The 17,762-nt window shown below is 33.6% G+C and overlaps 1 protein-coding gene across 4 annotated transcripts in view; it reads left to right on the top strand.

Moving 5' to 3' along the window:
• The window catches only part of ANKRD50 (ankyrin repeat domain containing 50), a 48,685-nt gene extending 31,478 nt beyond the window's left edge, over nt 1–17,207 (top strand). For all 4 annotated transcript variants that reach the window (NM_001167882.2, NM_020337.3, XM_047415992.1 and 1 more), the window contains 3 exons: nt 2,350–2,579; nt 8,721–12,271; nt 13,741–17,207. In NM_001167882.2, coding sequence (NP_001161354.1) covers nt 2,375–2,579; nt 8,721–12,268 — 3,753 coding nt within the window. In that variant the 5' untranslated portion in view covers nt 2,350–2,374 and the 3' untranslated portion in view covers nt 12,269–12,271; nt 13,741–17,207. The remainder of the gene's footprint in view (nt 1–2,349; nt 2,580–8,720; nt 12,272–13,740) is intronic.
• The last annotated feature ends 555 nt before the right edge of the window (nt 17,208–17,762 follow it).

Raw genomic sequence — 17,762 nt, 5'->3', positions numbered from 1 at the left:
ATGAGTTAATGGATGTGTGAAGTACTTAAAGCATATAGAGCACTGAATTAAAGTTGGCAGTGATGGCCTTGGTGATAGTGGTAGTTCTGGATGGAGATTTTTTTTTCTAAGTTCTAAGCATTGGCCTCATATCTCACTCTTTCCTTCTAGACTTACCCTATATCAGATTTTCCTTCACATATACCAGAGTTACCTTTCTAAACTCCAGTATAAACATATCAATTTTCTGCTTAAAATATTTCAGTGGCTTCTTAATACCCTTAGAGCAAAGCCCACAATTTATAATAATACCCAGCATTTACTCATTTTCATGCTTCTCATAATTCTTTCTTCCATACTTCACTGGTCTTTCTCTTCTTTAAGCCTTTGCATGTGCTGTTGCCTCAACTAGATTTTCTTTCCTGTGTGTCCTCCCCTACCCCCAGCTATTTCTCCTGACTAAACTCCTTCTCCTGGCTCATTACCTTACCAACCTCAATTCCCAATTTCCCTGACCTCTCCCCCACACTTCCCCTGTCAAAAGTAACTTAAGATGGCTTCCTGTGTGCTATATCTGAAGTGGTACTTATTATGTACATTATTCTAGTATATTGTGTTCTCTATATATTGTACTATATGACTACGTTACTGATTTTTCATCAGCCATCTTTATGCTCATAATGGACAAAATATATGTTTAAGATACAATAGAGTAGGTTTTCCCAAACTCAGCATGTTCCTTGCCAGGATTACCCCACCTTCCCTCTACCCTCCTGTAGCAGTATGATTGTTTCCTCAAAACTTAGTTCATCTTGAGCACCTAATATATGAATATTATTCTGACATTCTCTTCCTTCCCTACCTACTGCACTTAAGTTGGTCATTTCTTTTTATCTTGTTAGGAATTTTACTGCTTTTTCTTATAGCACTGAGAACAGTGCATTGAAGTTAATTCATTTTCCATTCTAGCTTGCAACAATGTCAAGTCTTTAGGTTCTACTGTGGGCACTATGCTAGGTTCTAGGGGTATACTGATGAGTAAAACCAATTTAGTCTCTCTTGATGCTTACAGTTAAAGAAAAATTTTAAAAAGACACTACATAATTAAATATAAAATTGCAAATTTGTTAGTGGAGTGGAAAAGAACTACTGTATTTGACGTTATGGAAGCATGTAATAGGGATTTGACCTTGAGAAGGTTACTCTCAACTTAAAATTGAAGATAAACTACATGAAGAGAGACGGGAAGTGCATGCCAGGCAGAGGAAACTGCAAATGAAAAGGCCCACGTGTAATTGTGTCTCATGAAGTCATTGAAAGAAGGCTAGTCTGGCTGGAATAACATTTGAAGTGACCCTGGCTGCAGTAGAAACTCACAGGAGGTGAGCTGTTGGAGGCATGTAGATTGTTAGGGTAGCCCAGGTAAAAGAGACGAAGAATTGAGGTAGGTTGGCCTACAGTGATGATGTTACAGGATATTTGAGATTTTTTAAAAAGAAATATTGATTCTTGCATGGTGATAAATTAGATCTTGGTGGCTATTATATTGAAAGACTAAGAAAACACACTTTTAGAACACATTATTTGTAAGTTTCTGGTGTGCATAACTGGATGGATTATGTCCTCTTCACTGTTGTATCTGCTCAGCACCTTATTGACCCCACAGCACACATCAAGTAAATATTTGTTGAAAATGAATGAGCGTGTTGTATTTATGAAAAAGTTATATTCAACTGCAATATAAGTTACACGCATAAGAAATGCATTAATTAATGGAGTAAAGCCTAATACTTTGTTCTTACTTTGAAGTTTGAAAATATGTCAAATGGGATCTAGAATATAGTTCATCTTTGTACAGTCTTTTAAAATAAAATTTGTGGAAGACGAGCTTGTATAAACTGCAGTAATTTTGTGGGAAAAGTGGTGATAAAATACTTCTACTACAGAACTCTTGATATTTTGCTTTTTATTAAGGTGATCCCCAGAGTTTGTTTTGTTTTCCACTCTGCAACACATTTTAGCTTTGTCATAAGGAAATCACGCTTTTTATCACTGACTCAAAACAATCAGAAAGGGAATATTGAAATATAGTTTTCTTCAATTCTGAATGCCTTTGTTAATTATGCTGAATTACACACACCCACACACCCACCTACTCTTGATTGTTCAAAATGCTGTAATTGGAAATACAAACTATTTGGGACCAATGTTGTACTTAAAGTAAGGAATTGAAACTTGTATAATATTTTTTGTTCTAATACCTTATTTTATTCTTAAAGAATTTATAATTAATACTCTAATGTTTGAATAATAAATCTTAACATCATAGCCACTTAACATTCAAAATGCTCATGTGTATGTGTTTTACAGGTGTGTTCTACTCCCTCTTCTGGGAATGAAGCCTCCCCAGCAAAGCCTATACCTGCTTGTTGATTCTGTTGATGAAGGGTGTAACATTACTGAAGGTGAACAAACGTCTACCAGCTTATCTGGGACTGTTGCAGCACTTTTAGCTGGTCACCATGAGTTCTTTCCACCATGGCTATTGCTTCTCTGTTCTGCCCGAAAGCAGAGTAAGGCTGTTACTAAAATGTTTACTGGTAAGCATAATTACTTACTGCCATCCTTAAATGCTTTTCATTAATGAACTAGTTTCTTAGAGGAAAAAGTATGCAGTTGAACATCTGCGTGTTGCATTTGCTCCTTCTATCAGCTATTCTCAATTGTGCGTTTTGAAATTTATATAAAAAAGCCTTAGCATGTTTTTAAGATCATTTAAACATACTTTTTTTCAAGATTCTTTTCCTAAGTGCTTTAGTAACAGGAGTATCTCATGCCATATTTGCTGCTATACATCTTGGGGCTGCATTTGTTATGTTGTTGTATCATGATCAATTTAAACCTTTTTCTGATGTTTGAGATTACAGTCTATGTAATATATAAAAGCACACTGTCAGAGTTTCTTTTTTTTTCTTTCTCTTACTTTTTTTACTTTTCTTTATTTACTACCGTAATAAAGTTGTGGTTACTCCTATTAGATTAACACACTCTTTGTCTTGTGGGAAATAAAAGAAGTGTAAAACAAGGACATATCACAGGATATATAGTGTAATTGGAGAGATATTAATGATTAATTAGCCATATAACTTTTGAGTAGTTCTATACATTTTACAGTATGTTGAAATCTTGTTAGTTTGTTAAAATAATTTTCTGTAAGCGGCTTTATTCCTTCTATCAGGTTGTCTCTCTTCAATTCCCTTGCTACTAAAGGCAGCACTTTTGGTTTCCACATATGGCATTCTTTCTTGTTGTTATTGATAAAAATATAGTTGGTAAAAGTTTAGTAATTTAAATAACAATAGCTAACACTTAACGTAGCATTTAGTATGTCAGGCATAGGTACAGTAGAAGCCCCTTTTGGTCTGTGTCACCGTTCCTTTCTTTTCCTCATTAGAGAAAACCAGTATTATTCACTTATTTTATATGCTTTCAGCTCATATTTTATATTATGTATGTTTATAGTTTACATAAATGAAACACTCCGTACACCATCTGAGCTTTTACCACTCACTAGCCATGTGACTTTACACAATTTATATTCTGTGTGCCTCTGTTTCCTTATCTATGAAATGGGGATTATAATATTACTTTTCTTATAGGATTTTTGTAAGGTTAAATGACAAATTACATATGAAGCACTTAAGACAATGCCTAATACATAGTAAGTGCTTCAGAAATATATCGTTGCTATTATTATTTGATTCTCTTTTTTTAGCCAACAATATTTTTGAGCCATATTCATTATAAATCCATTTCATTGGTTTTAATTGGTAGATAGTACTCCTTCCCATCAATAAATCTCTTTTTATTTTTCCGTTATCCTGTTCATGGACATTTAGATCATTTTCAGTTTTTTGCTGTTACAAAAAATGCTTCATGAACATATTTGTTCATGTATTCTTGTGCACATGTGCTGAAAGTTTACATTATAAATCTAGACTTGTAATTGCTGGATTATAGAGTATGTACATTTTGAACTCCAGTTAAATTTACTTCTTTTTTTGGGATATTAATTATTAAATTGTTGGGCTGTATATAAACATGTGACCACCACTCTGTTCATGGTAGATGTGGAATTTTGAGGTAAAAATTTAAGGATATTGCTAAAGTTATTAATACATATTGTCAAATTGCTTTCCAAAAGGATATATATTATTATATTCCTACCTGAAAGTGTTGGGTGGTTTCTTTTTACTTGCACCAGTATTGAATTATGTCTTTCTTTAATTTGTCAATGTGGTATGTGAAAAATACTCTATTATGTTTATTTGTACTTCTTGTTTACTGTTGAACCCTTTCTCCCTTATGCTTATTTCATCAATTTGCCTTTTTTCCATGAAATTCTGCTATCTGACCTTTATGTTTTTATTGGGAAGTCAAAGTTATTTTCTTACTGATTTTCAGGGCTTGTATTTGATATTTTTTCAATTCTTTGCAACTATTTTCTTCAGCTTTTTAAAATTGTAATAATTATTTTGAAGTATATTATTTGTAACCTCTAATGTATTGTCCTTTACTATTCTGTATTCTTAGTTTTACCTTTAATGATTTTGCCCATATACACTATTTTTTACTAAAAGGTATGAAATAAAGCTCTAACTTGAATAATCTGTAAAATCATAAATTTTCTCAGCAATTTATTGACTTCCTTTACAATTACTTGGTGATTTTTTTTCATCATACATTAAGTTTGGGTGTGTGTACATATAGATATGTCTGTGTACTATTACTCTATTTCTAAACTATTCATCTGCTCTTCTAAACTATCTGTTAGCATTATTATGCAAATAAAATGTTGGCTTAATTTTTGTAATTTTCTTGTGCAATTACTTCCCAGCCCTCTTTGCCATCATTATTATTATTTTAAATTATATATTTTTACCTGTGCTCCTCTAGGTTGTAATAGCATATTTTAAATTATAACTGTCAGTGATATAAACCAAAAAATTATTAAGATTTTGATAAAATTGCAATTTAAATAAGAAAGAATTTGCTGTTTAAAATATGCTTTCTTTCTACTCATAAACATAACATATCTGTGCATTTATTCAAGTTTCTCCTTAGATTTTCCAGTTATCCTTCTATATGTCCTACACATATCTTTCTGGTCTTTGCTTACGTTTTAAGTTGAAATGTATGTGTTTTTAGTTGTATGCATTTGAAATTAAAATTGCACGTGTATCATCATAGCCAGTAACATTAAGATCTTTACTATGTCTAAATTGGCTTCACCTACTCATATCTGAGGATTAAGCCTTTGGAAAGACAGTTTTTATAACTTTTCTGATGTATTCACTATACTGACCAGTAGCATTTTCATTAATGGCTTCAGATTAATCTAATGAAAATGACTTTGGCACTAAGCACAATTTTGACTACAACTAGGGTATTCTCATAGGCTGATCATTGTTAGGCCTTGTTATGGGACTGAAAGAAATAGCAGCCTATTTCAAAACATTTTGTGCACAAAAAATTAACCCTCCAAGATTTTTAAAAGATTATTTATGTGTTTATTTTATCTGATTATAAAAGTATTACAGGCTCCATTTAGAACATATTTTAAATGACAACATACACAAATATTACACCAGATACTAATAAGAGTGCTTAATTATTATTAACACGTTGTGTTAAATTCTGTATATGTTCCCCTTCCTAGTTGAGATCATGCTATATATCAATTTGATTTTCTGCTTTTTAAATTTAACATTGACAAACCTTTCAGTGTCACCATATTGTCTTTTTAATGACTATTTTAATGCCTACATATTTTATTTGTATATTAATATGCTGGCATTTGCTTAAACTTCTTGTTATATTTTTAGGTTTTATTTTCGTATTGCTTATCCTCATATGTTCTTCATGATAATAAGTAATTTCAGTAAGCATCAATTTATAAATATTGGCACAGGTCTTCTCTTTCACTCTGTTTTCACCAGTACTGCGTAATGCGGTACCCTGAGAAATAATTCAAGCAAGAATAGAAAATAATAGAAATGTTTCAAGTAAGAATAGAAAAGTTCAAGTAAGAATAGAAAAGTTCAAGTAAGAATAGAAAAGAATAGAAAAATACTTCTATTCAAGTAAGAATAGAAAAGAAATAGGGAGGTAGGTGGTCCATCATTTCAGTAAGTCATGTTTTTATTCCCCTAGAAGTTTTGATTATTTTTCAGCCCTATCTTATGTTTAAAAGTGCTTTGATAGCTATATATTGTGTGTGTTCATAATAAGAGGATTACATGTGTATTAGTCAGAAGTTATAATTTTTAAAAGTAATTATTTTCAGTACTGTAACTCAAGATATTTAAGTTGTTGATTAATAGATATTCTTAGTTCTGTTTTAATGAACAGATAACTATTATAACCATCATTGGTAAAGAACATGGTAATTTCTTCTATCTAAAATCCATATTATTAAGTATTTAGATTGGGGGGAGATTTATTCTCTAAATTATAAATTCTCTGTAAGTTTTCTTTATGAAATTCTATACTTTCTTATAGAATTAATCCTATGTCCCTACTCCCTCCTCTTCATTCCCCTGTCAAACACTTGAGTTTTCTTTCACAGCTTTCTATTCTTGTTCCTATCTTAATGAAAAGAGCAAACTTCAAAGTCAAACAAAACAATCAAAATTTATCACTTTCTAGCTGTGTTACTGTGAGCAATTTATTTAGCCTTTCTGAGCTTTAGGTTCCTCATTTTTTAAAATAGAAATATTTATCTCCCAGGCTTAACAGACAAGGAAGTTTTATAAATAATGAATACTTAAACTACTACCTTAGTTGACTCTCAATAAATGTAGCTCTCCTTTATTCCTTTCTGTAGAACCCTACCTGTTACTGTGGAGTTTCTGTCTTAATAATCTCAAGTTCCAATCATGACATCTTAGTTAATTAGGTTTAAATTTTAGATATTTATTCATAATGTATTATCTTTCATGTAAATCAAGTAGTGTAATATAAAGTCTTACATTAAAGTAATGTAAAGTATTACATTGCTTCAGAAACTTTAAAACACTATATAATGTAAAATAATATTATTTCTTAAGTAACTTATTTTATTAGCAATGTACTAGGTATTTCCCTTATCTAACTTAAATTTTAAAGTGAATTGATAAAGTCAAAAGCAAATGGACACACAGAAAAAGATTTGGAGGCAAATCATCTCACATCATTGGTAAATATAGATTGCTGTAAATTTCTAGGTATGTTTTAAACCCTCCTTAGGTGAGCAGTGACTTTTTCACAATTGAAATTTATCTTTTGAAATTATTTCTGTTGAGGATTTAATAATCAATTGTGTGTGTATACATATATATGTAAAATTAGATTCTATTTTTATATAGATTTAGGGCTATATAAATCTATATACAAAGGGCTATATTAGTACAACTGTTATTCATATTTTATTCTTGGTAGGTTGTTTTTAATTTTTCAATAACTGTCCATTTTGTCTACATACTTAAAGCTTAGTATTACAAAATTGAGTTCATCAGCTTTTTCTCCAAACCTATTATTTGTCCTTCACTGGTCTCTTTTTCAGTCCTGTTGGCAGAGCCACAAGTTAGTGTCAGCTTTGACTCGTCCTTCTCTCTTTACTTCTCCACATTCACCAAACACTGTATAATCTAGCTCTTATTAAAAATTCCCAAGTCCATCACGTTATTTTTGCTGCTGCTGCTGCTGCTGCAACTGCTGCCACCACCATGGCTGTTCAGGCTCATAGTGATTTTCATCTAGAGTGCATCACAGCCTCTTTAAAAATCGTTTTTCCTTTAGTCTTGACTTGCTCCAGTTCTTCTTTAGATGTTAGAATATTCCTTCAAAATGCAAATCTGGTCATGTTAGAGACTTGGTAAGTTCATTCACTTAGCAGTTTTTTGTTCTGTAAGATGAATACACAATTGTCTAATAAGTTCATATCTGTATATCATGATGTCATCTGCCTTTAGACAGTGAAATTATGGCTTCCTTTAAAGAACTTAAAATGAGTTTAAAATAGCTATAGCTAGTATATTTTTAGGTTGGTTTAAATCTTATTATTTATTTTACAGTGCTGAAGTTTTTTGACCATAATTTAGCCAAAAAGTTGGATCTTAATTGGTTCAAGCTATTTATTGATGGTCTGAGATTTAGTTATTTTAGTTTGATAAAATGTACAGTAATGTAGTTTAAAGACAATGACTGGATATTCTAATTGGATGTAAATATTCAGTCACATAATTAAGGCTAGTGTATATTCAAGTGTATAGGTGAAAATATATAAATTATTTATATGGAAGAGATTTTGTAAAAAGAAACCTTACTTGTTATGTCTCCTGCAACTTTTTTTCCCAATCACTTGGGAGTTCAGATGATGTTAACTGGGTACTTTTATGGTTATGTAAGACTGTCTGCTTCTTAATTAGTATCTATTACAATGGAGTTGAGAGAGGCACCAAGCTACTAAAGGAATAAGTAGTTCAATTTGTAGGTAGGAAAATGAAATTTTTCTGCCATCAGTGTGTTTTTGCAGAAAGAAAAGAAAACTGATTTACATACTAATAGGTATTAATTGATCTGCTTATTAGTATTAATTTATTAATTGATTTATTTATTATATGTTGACATTCTCTTTGAAGATATGGTACTTCTATAATCCTTTTCAACTGATTACATCTACTTTTTTATCTCTTCTTTAGGTTTTCGAAAAATAAGTTTAGATGACCTTCGGAAGGCATATATCGTCAAGGATGTTCAGCAGTACATTCTTCATCGTTTAGATCAAGAAGAAGCTTTGCGACAACACCTCACAAAAGAAACTGCAGAGATGTTAAATCAACTGCACATTAAAAGCAGTGGATGCTTTCTTTACCTAGAACGAGTTTTAGATGGAGTTGTAGAAAATTTTATTATGTTAAGAGAAATTCGTGACATCCCAGGAACTCTAAATGGTTTATATCTCTGGCTGTGCCAAAGACTTTTTGTAAGAAAACAATTTGCAAAGGTTCAGCCTATTTTGAATGTGATTCTTGCAGCCTGCCGACCTTTGACCATAACGGAATTATATCACGCAGTATGGACCAAAAACATGTCGTTAACTTTGGAAGATTTTCAACGCAAGTTAGATATCCTCTCCAAACTTCTTGTTGATGGACTAGGAAATACAAAAATACTGTTTCATTATAGTTTTGCCGAGTGGCTTCTGGATGTGAAACACTGTACTCAGAAGTATTTATGTAATGCAGCAGAAGGACACAGAATGTTGGCTATGAGTTATACCTGTCAAGCCAAGAATTTAACACCATTGGAAGCACAAGAATTTGCATTGCACTTAATTAACTCAAACTTACAATTAGAGACAGCGGAGTTAGCTCTGTGGATGATATGGAATGGTACACCTGTCAGAGATTCCCTTTCTACTTTGATACCCAAGGAACAAGAAGTGCTACAGCTGTTGGTTAAAGCTGGGGCTCATGTCAACAGTGAAGACGATCGCACATCATGCATAGTTCGACAAGCCTTAGAAAGAGAGGATTCCATTCGGACATTATTAGATAATGGAGCTTCAGTAAATCAGTGTGATTCAAATGGGAGAACATTATTGGCTAATGCTGCATATAGTGGCAGTCTTGATGTAGTCAATTTACTTGTCTCTAGGGGAGCAGATTTAGAGATAGAAGATGCTCATGGACATACACCACTCACTCTAGCGGCTAGACAGGGACATACCAAGGTGGTTAATTGTTTGATTGGGTGTGGAGCAAATATTAATCATACTGATCAAGATGGTTGGACAGCATTAAGATCTGCTGCTTGGGGTGGCCATACTGAGGTAGTTTCTGCACTACTTTATGCTGGCGTAAAAGTGGATTGTGCAGATGCTGATAGCCGAACAGCTTTGAGAGCAGCAGCATGGGGAGGACACGAGGATATTGTACTGAATTTGCTACAACATGGCGCTGAAGTGAACAAAGCTGATAATGAAGGTAGAACTGCTTTGATAGCAGCAGCATACATGGGACATAGAGAGATTGTGGAACACCTACTGGACCATGGAGCAGAAGTAAATCATGAGGATGTTGATGGCAGGACTGCACTCTCTGTAGCTGCACTTTGTGTGCCTGCAAGTAAAGGGCACGCATCAGTTGTTAGCCTTTTAATTGATCGAGGTGCTGAAGTAGATCATTGTGATAAAGATGGCATGACTCCACTGCTGGTAGCTGCCTATGAAGGACATGTTGATGTGGTTGACTTGCTTCTAGAAGGGGGAGCAGATGTAGATCACACAGATAACAATGGCCGTACACCCCTCTTAGCAGCAGCGTCTATGGGTCATGCATCAGTTGTAAATACACTTTTGTTTTGGGGTGCAGCTGTGGATAGTATTGATAGTGAAGGTAGGACAGTCCTCAGTATAGCTTCAGCACAAGGAAATGTTGAGGTGGTACGTACTCTACTGGATAGAGGGTTAGATGAAAATCACAGAGATGATGCTGGATGGACACCTTTGCACATGGCAGCTTTTGAAGGGCACAGATTGATATGTGAAGCACTTATTGAACAAGGTGCTAGAACAAATGAGATTGACAATGATGGACGAATCCCTTTCATATTAGCTTCACAAGAGGGTCATTATGATTGTGTTCAAATATTACTGGAAAACAAATCCAACATTGATCAAAGAGGTTATGATGGAAGAAATGCACTGCGGGTTGCTGCATTAGAAGGGCACAGGGACATTGTTGAATTGCTTTTTAGCCATGGTGCTGATGTTAACTGCAAAGATGCTGATGGTCGGCCTACACTTTATATCTTGGCCTTAGAAAATCAGCTTACAATGGCCGAATATTTTTTAGAAAATGGTGCAAACGTAGAAGCAAGTGATGCTGAAGGAAGGACAGCACTTCATGTGTCTTGTTGGCAAGGCCATATGGAAATGGTGCAGGTCCTGATAGCATACCATGCTGACGTCAATGCTGCAGACAATGAAAAGCGCTCTGCTTTGCAGTCTGCAGCCTGGCAGGGCCATGTAAAAGTGGTTCAGCTTCTGATTGAGCATGGTGCTGTAGTTGACCATACATGTAACCAAGGTGCAACTGCACTCTGTATTGCAGCCCAGGAAGGGCACATTGATGTTGTTCAGGTCTTATTAGAGCATGGTGCTGATCCAAACCATGCTGATCAATTTGGACGCACTGCTATGCGTGTTGCAGCCAAAAATGGACATTCTCAGATAATTAAATTATTAGAAAAATATGGTGCATCTAGTTTGAATGGCTGTTCCCCATCTCCTGTTCACACAATGGAGCAAAAACCTCTACAGTCATTGTCTTCAAAAGTGCAGTCATTAACAATTAAATCAAATAGCTCTGGTAGTACTGGTGGAGGGGATATGCAGCCTTCGTTACGTGGTTTACCTAATGGGCCTACTCATGCTTTTAGTTCTCCTTCAGAATCTCCAGATTCTACAGTTGACCGGCAGAAGTCATCACTGTCAAATAATTCCCTGAAAAGCTCAAAAAATTCATCTTTGAGAACTACTTCATCTACAGCAACGGCTCAAACAGTGCCAATTGATAGCTTTCATAACTTGTCATTTACAGAACAAATTCAGCAGCATTCATTGCCACGCAGTAGAAGTCGACAGTCAATTGTTTCCCCATCTTCCACAACACAGTCCTTAGGACAGAGTCATAATTCACCAAGTAGTGAATTTGAGTGGAGTCAAGTAAAGCCCAGTTTGAAGTCAACTAAAGCAAGTAAAGGGGGGAAATCAGAAAATTCTGCCAAGTCTGGATCAGCTGGGAAAAAAGCGAAACAAAGTAATTCTTCACAGCCAAAGGTTTTAGAATATGAAATGACTCAGTTTGATAGAAGAGGACCTATAGCCAAATCCGGGACTGCTGCACCACCTAAACAAATGCCAGCAGAATCTCAATGCAAAATTATGATACCTTCAGCTCAGCAGGAAATTGGTCGATCTCAACAGCAGTTTCTTATTCACCAACAAAGTGGGGAACAGAAGAAGAGAAATGGAATAATGACAAATCCAAATTATCATCTTCAGAGCAACCAGGTTTTTCTTGGTAGGGTTTCAGTCCCACGAACAATGCAAGATAGAGGGCATCAGGAAGTGTTGGAGGGATACCCTTCCTCAGAGACAGAATTAAGCCTTAAACAAGCTCTGAAGCTTCAGATTGAAGGTTCTGACCCTAGCTTCAACTATAAAAAGGAAACACCATTATAAAAGGTAATATTTTGTCAACATAAAGAGTAAAAAACAAAAGTAGAGTTCCCTCTACTTGGAATGCTCTTTTCCTTGATCACAAGGCCAATTCCCTCAGTTAATCTCTACTCAGATGTCATCTGGGCCAGACCTGCCTCATCACCCCTTTACATCAGAATTCTCCTGCCTCTAGCACTCCTTTCCCCCTTGCGTGCATTATGTTATCCAAAGCACTTACTATTTAAAATACTTCAGATGTTTTCTTTATTATTTTTCTCCTCTGAACTAAAAATACAACCTTTGTGAGGGTAGGGTTTTCTATCTGTTCACTACTGTATTTCATGTACTTGGAATAGTGCTTGGACCTATGGTAGTTTCCCAGTAAAAATTTGTTGAATAAGTGAATGAACTAATGAATGAATGAATGAATATACTACTTATGGATCCCAGATTAAGAATTCTTTCCTATTCAGTTATGTCCTCCTTTTAAAAGAATTTTGATGGTGTCAGAGGGAGGGGCTGTTTCAAACTCATCTTTTTGGTTTGAATGCAATAATGTCTGTAGCACATAGTAGATAGTAAATATTAATTTCATTCCTTTTCACTCAGAAAGAAGTCAAAAACTTAGTAGAAGGTAGTTTTTATGATGACAGATCTCTTGAGACTCTTCTAAGTAATGTTTTCACACATAAGGCATAGACGTGAAAAATGATAAATGGATGTTTTTGCAATATTGGTATTTAGGGCACTTTATACCTGGATAAAATAGTCATATTTGTTAAATAAATTTTTTTTTCTCCTTCCTGTAACAAAGGATACTTCATTAATAATATAGGGGATGTTAGTGGGAAAATAGGTATGTAAGTTTTATATTTTAGATACTTTTTCAGAAGCTCATTTCCTGTATTGGAGATAAATCTGAAGATTTTATTAGGGGTCTTTCCTAGCATACACTGCAGCTATATTTATCCCACTTTGCTTAATGATTTTTCTTCCTCTAACAAAGTTATATATACTCTTTCCTTTTTGCTGCTTCTGTCTTTGTAAATATATTTTAGGGATATAATAGGTGAAACACTATTATAGATAAATTCCTCATATATTCTAATAATAAACAGCCTTCAATGTGAATCTAGGGGTGACCAAATGTCATTCAAAAATAATTTGAATAAAGTACTTAATTCAGTCCCCAAATGCAATTCGTTTTTAAAATAATTAGTTCTGATGGTGCACCCTTTCAACTCTCATGATATCTGTTTTAAAGGCAAAATATAAATACGTATTAAAAATGAAACACCAGAATTAAGGTAAACATTTTGTGGAATTTAAAAAGTGGCTTATAAGTTAAATAATAGTTAAGTCTGCTTTGTGCTTTGCATGGTAAATATATAGATAAAGATATATAGAGGTAAATGTATTAAATAAAGTTTTAAAATGATATGTAGCTGTATAATACAATGTAGAAAATAATTTTTTTTTAACTTTTGCATTAGTTTCCTATTCTGTGAAACAGAAGACATTGTGATGGAGTGGTTCTTCAGCTACTGGATGGAAACATATGCCTGTTGATTTGCTGAAAAAACAAAAAAAATGAAGAATGTGATCTCTGCAGTACAGTTACCTTAATTACTGTAATGTGCCTAAATAGTAAGGCTGCCTTCTCAATGTAACCCTCTGTGCTTAAAAAATTTCATTTTGTGTGCTTTGTATTCACTACACAGGAATAAGCACTTTTTAAAAATGCAGATACATACTGCAGTTCCCTGATAAAAGCTGAAAAGAAAATTTGAGTATTTTAAGTTAAGATGTGATAAAAAATGTGCATGTGCCATAATCAAATATATATGAAAAGGCAGTGTTCCTTGTATTTATTTTTTTTTCTTTTTGTGGCAAAAGAAACTTAAACATACTGTTTCAGTCACATTGCATTGTAGTGTATGGCCTGTTTCTTGTATCTTTAAAGACGTTGCTCAATAAAACAAATCTTGCAACTGTTCTATGTTCACTACACCTTCAGCATTGGATAAAAATCATTTTCTATATAAATATCACATTGAAATGAAAAAATGATTTCTTGGCAGTTTAAAAAAAATATTTTATAGTAGTTTAGGGAGCTGCTTTAAGTAGTTTAAATCTGGATTTTCCCAGTAGAATTCTTCTCATCTCTGGCTAAACATGTCAGAACAAACAACCAACCAGTCTGTAGGCAGAACAAAGTCCTATTTCATCCGCTGGGATACAATTTCATCTTCCATTCACTTTGTCATTCCACCTCTAAGAAGACAGACTATCATTCCTGAGGCATGAAAATTCTCAGGGACAAAGCCATGCCTCAGTCACATGTGTGTGCAGAGAGAAATGCACCTGTCTATCTAAGGGTAGATTTTTGATCCCTGAATAATTCATTGACTAAACTGACCTCTTCCTCCTGGCTAAATAAATTAATTTTGCTGGCTTCTCTCTCAGCGGTTTCTATTTTGTAAATTGCTGCATGACCAAAATAGCCCCACTCAAAATCAATTGGATTAATTTTAATGGTTTGGTTGGATGAATATTCTGGATGAATATAAAATGTGCTGCCCTTCACAGATGACACCACTCCCCTGTCAATCATAGCACATGTGTACTTTTTATTGTTACTTAATAGTGATGGATTTGCACTTTTCTATCCTCATACTCTTTCCTGTTTTCTTCTTTGTACAATTGCATGCAGGAGGGCTGGATGCCAGGGTTAAGAGAGAAATTCATGACAAGGAAGGTAAAATTGGTTCAAATGAGCATGTGTCCCACAGCCTTAGTCTCCTTACTCTTAAATCAGTGGAGCTGTAGCTTAGATGGGTCGTTTATATGTCTGGAAAAGTTGTCATAACAGTTTAGAAGCCAAGGTTGTGGATTTGATCTTAGAATGGGCCTGTTAATCTTATAGAACCCAGAAATTCTGTTCTTTTCATGTACTGTTGATGAGGAATGAGGAAAGAGAATTTGGAGATTCAGCACAAAACCATTGCTACTTCTAGAACAAAATCTTTAGAATATGTCCTAATAACAAAGGTCAGTAATGTCATCTTCATATATGAAGGACACATGTGATACATTGTTCGTGGAAATAGAAATGTATAATTATGATAAATGTTTCACTTGAATCTTATTGTAAGGCTTTTCTTGCTTTTATTTTTTAAAGTCAGCAAAACTCATTTTGTCTGTCATCTATAAGTCATAGTGAGGACTACGAGATAAGTTGATAAGTTCAATTGATATTAAGGTGACATGGCAATATTAATAACTCAAATGTGAATGTTTCAAGTATTGAATTCTTGTCCCTATGGGACATTTATTAAATAAAATTAATGGGACTCTTGCAAAGTAGCCTTAAAAGTGTTAATGAGTCTATTAATAAATATGAACACATACTATTATTAGAACCAACTTTACTCATATCTCAAATACAGTACATTTACATTACTGTAGAGGATGAAGCTCTAATTTCTATTACATGTAATTTTCTTTAGAAAGAGAACCCTGAAAGCTGCCAGTTTTTCTATTAACTTTGAATTATTGAAATTGTATTTATTTAATTTTATTGTTTTTACAAAATTGCACCTTGTGTCCAAAGGGCGAAGATATGACATTGCATAAGGGATTTATGTTTTTCAAAGAGCTAACTGTTTTCATATCCATACTATATACACTTGAAGCAATTGGTAGGAAGAGAACCTATTGGAAAAATACGATTTTCAAAAGTAAGTATTCCTCGGGATGTTTTTATATAAATTATGTTTTGGAATAGAACATAAATGACTTTGAGTTAGGATAAGGATGATAGGATGGGTGCTGGAGATGCCCTGCCTTGCTTATTTGTTTCTGTGGGGGATTTAATACTATAAATGAAAATGGCTTCTGCTCCATTAAAAAGTAAAAATTGTCCTCCAAATATAAAACTCCTTAATAGATATTTTTGAAATTAAAATCTTTAAATTTTATAAATCAGCTGTTGCCACTACACAACTATGATGGCATGTGCTTATAACATTTTTATAACATTCCGTCTGTGTCTATTCCCTAAATATCATGAGTTTATAATAAGGAAAGTGATAAAAATACAGTAATGAAATAAAAATCTGAATGTTTCTAAGAAAGGTTTTGGAAGGAAAAATGACCTGAAATCAGTGCGTACTGCAAAGTACAGCCAATAATTTTTGTTCTTTGTTTTCACCCCCACCCTCACTGGAATTCTCACCAAAAATAGTTTGATACTTAAAAAACAGAAGTAAATACTTTTCTCAATATTGTTTTGGCTATGCAAATATTTGTTTTGCTTAATGTCCTCCATTTACACTTCTCAGCAAATGTAGTTGCAAACAAATGCTTTCTTTTTATTTTTCCCTTGGTTTGAGGTATGTAAATAGCCAAAAATGTACATTGAATTTCACATTGTAAAAGTTTTATTTTATCCCTTGTATGATATTACTCAAAAAATCCCTGTGTATATGAAAGTGCATAATAAATATATTTGCTTTACAGAGAAGATCTTGTTTTAATTTTGTCCTTGAACCAGTAGAACATGCATGATATGCATATAGCATAAACAACTGTTAGTTGTTTTAAGTTATTATCTTAAATAAATCCTGAGCAAATGAATTTGGAAACATTTTGCAAAGAAGAAAGTGAAATATAACACTGTCCAAAGGAAGGTAGAAAAACAAAGATTTACTGTTTATGTCTTCCTAAGCCTTTTTAAAGACTTAATGTTCTTTTCCCCCCCGTGACTGATTATATACTATATCACACCATGTCAGGTTTTGTGCCTCTGAGAATTGCAGTAATCCAATAACTTTTGTATATGTGTGCTCCTTGATCATCAGAATATTATGGCCATCTTATGGCGGATATTTTGGGAGTTTATTGCAAACATGGTCATTCATTTTCTAAATAAAATTTGTGTGTTTCTTCACTCAGTAAACTTGCGTCACTTCTTCATGACCTCTTTCCCCACCAGAACACAGCATACACATGCTGTATGTATACATACACACAAATGGCTTTTTGAATTTGTGGGTTCCACATCCCTGGATGCAACCAATCTCAGATAAAATATTCGGAAAGAAAATTCTAAAGTTCTGAAAAACAAATTTGCTATGTGCCAAGTACTACCTGAGTCCACCTGAATGAAGTGATGTGTAGGCATTGTATTAGGTATTGTAAGTAATCTAGAGATGATTTAAAGTATACAGAGCATATGCGTAGGTTATATATAAATGTTGTGCCATTTCATATAAGGGACAGGAGTGTCTGAGGATTTTGGTATCCAAGAGGAGTCCTGGAAACAATCTCCCTATGTTTACTAATGAATAACTATCCTATTACTCCAAAGAGAGGTTTCTAAAAAGGCCAACAAGGTATCTTCTGTTCTGTAATTTCATGAAAATTGTAGTGTTCTGCAGTTATATTTTTTATAAATTTGTTGAATTAATATAAATCTTATTCTAAAAAATTAATAATATAACAATGTGTTTAA

Source organism: Homo sapiens, chromosome 4, assembly GCF_000001405.40.
Source record: "Homo sapiens chromosome 4, GRCh38.p14 Primary Assembly".
NCBI lineage: Eukaryota > Metazoa > Chordata > Mammalia > Primates > Hominidae > Homo > Homo sapiens.
The sequence above is the reverse complement of the archived record's forward strand: the minus strand, read 5'-3'. Positions and strand labels throughout refer to the sequence as shown.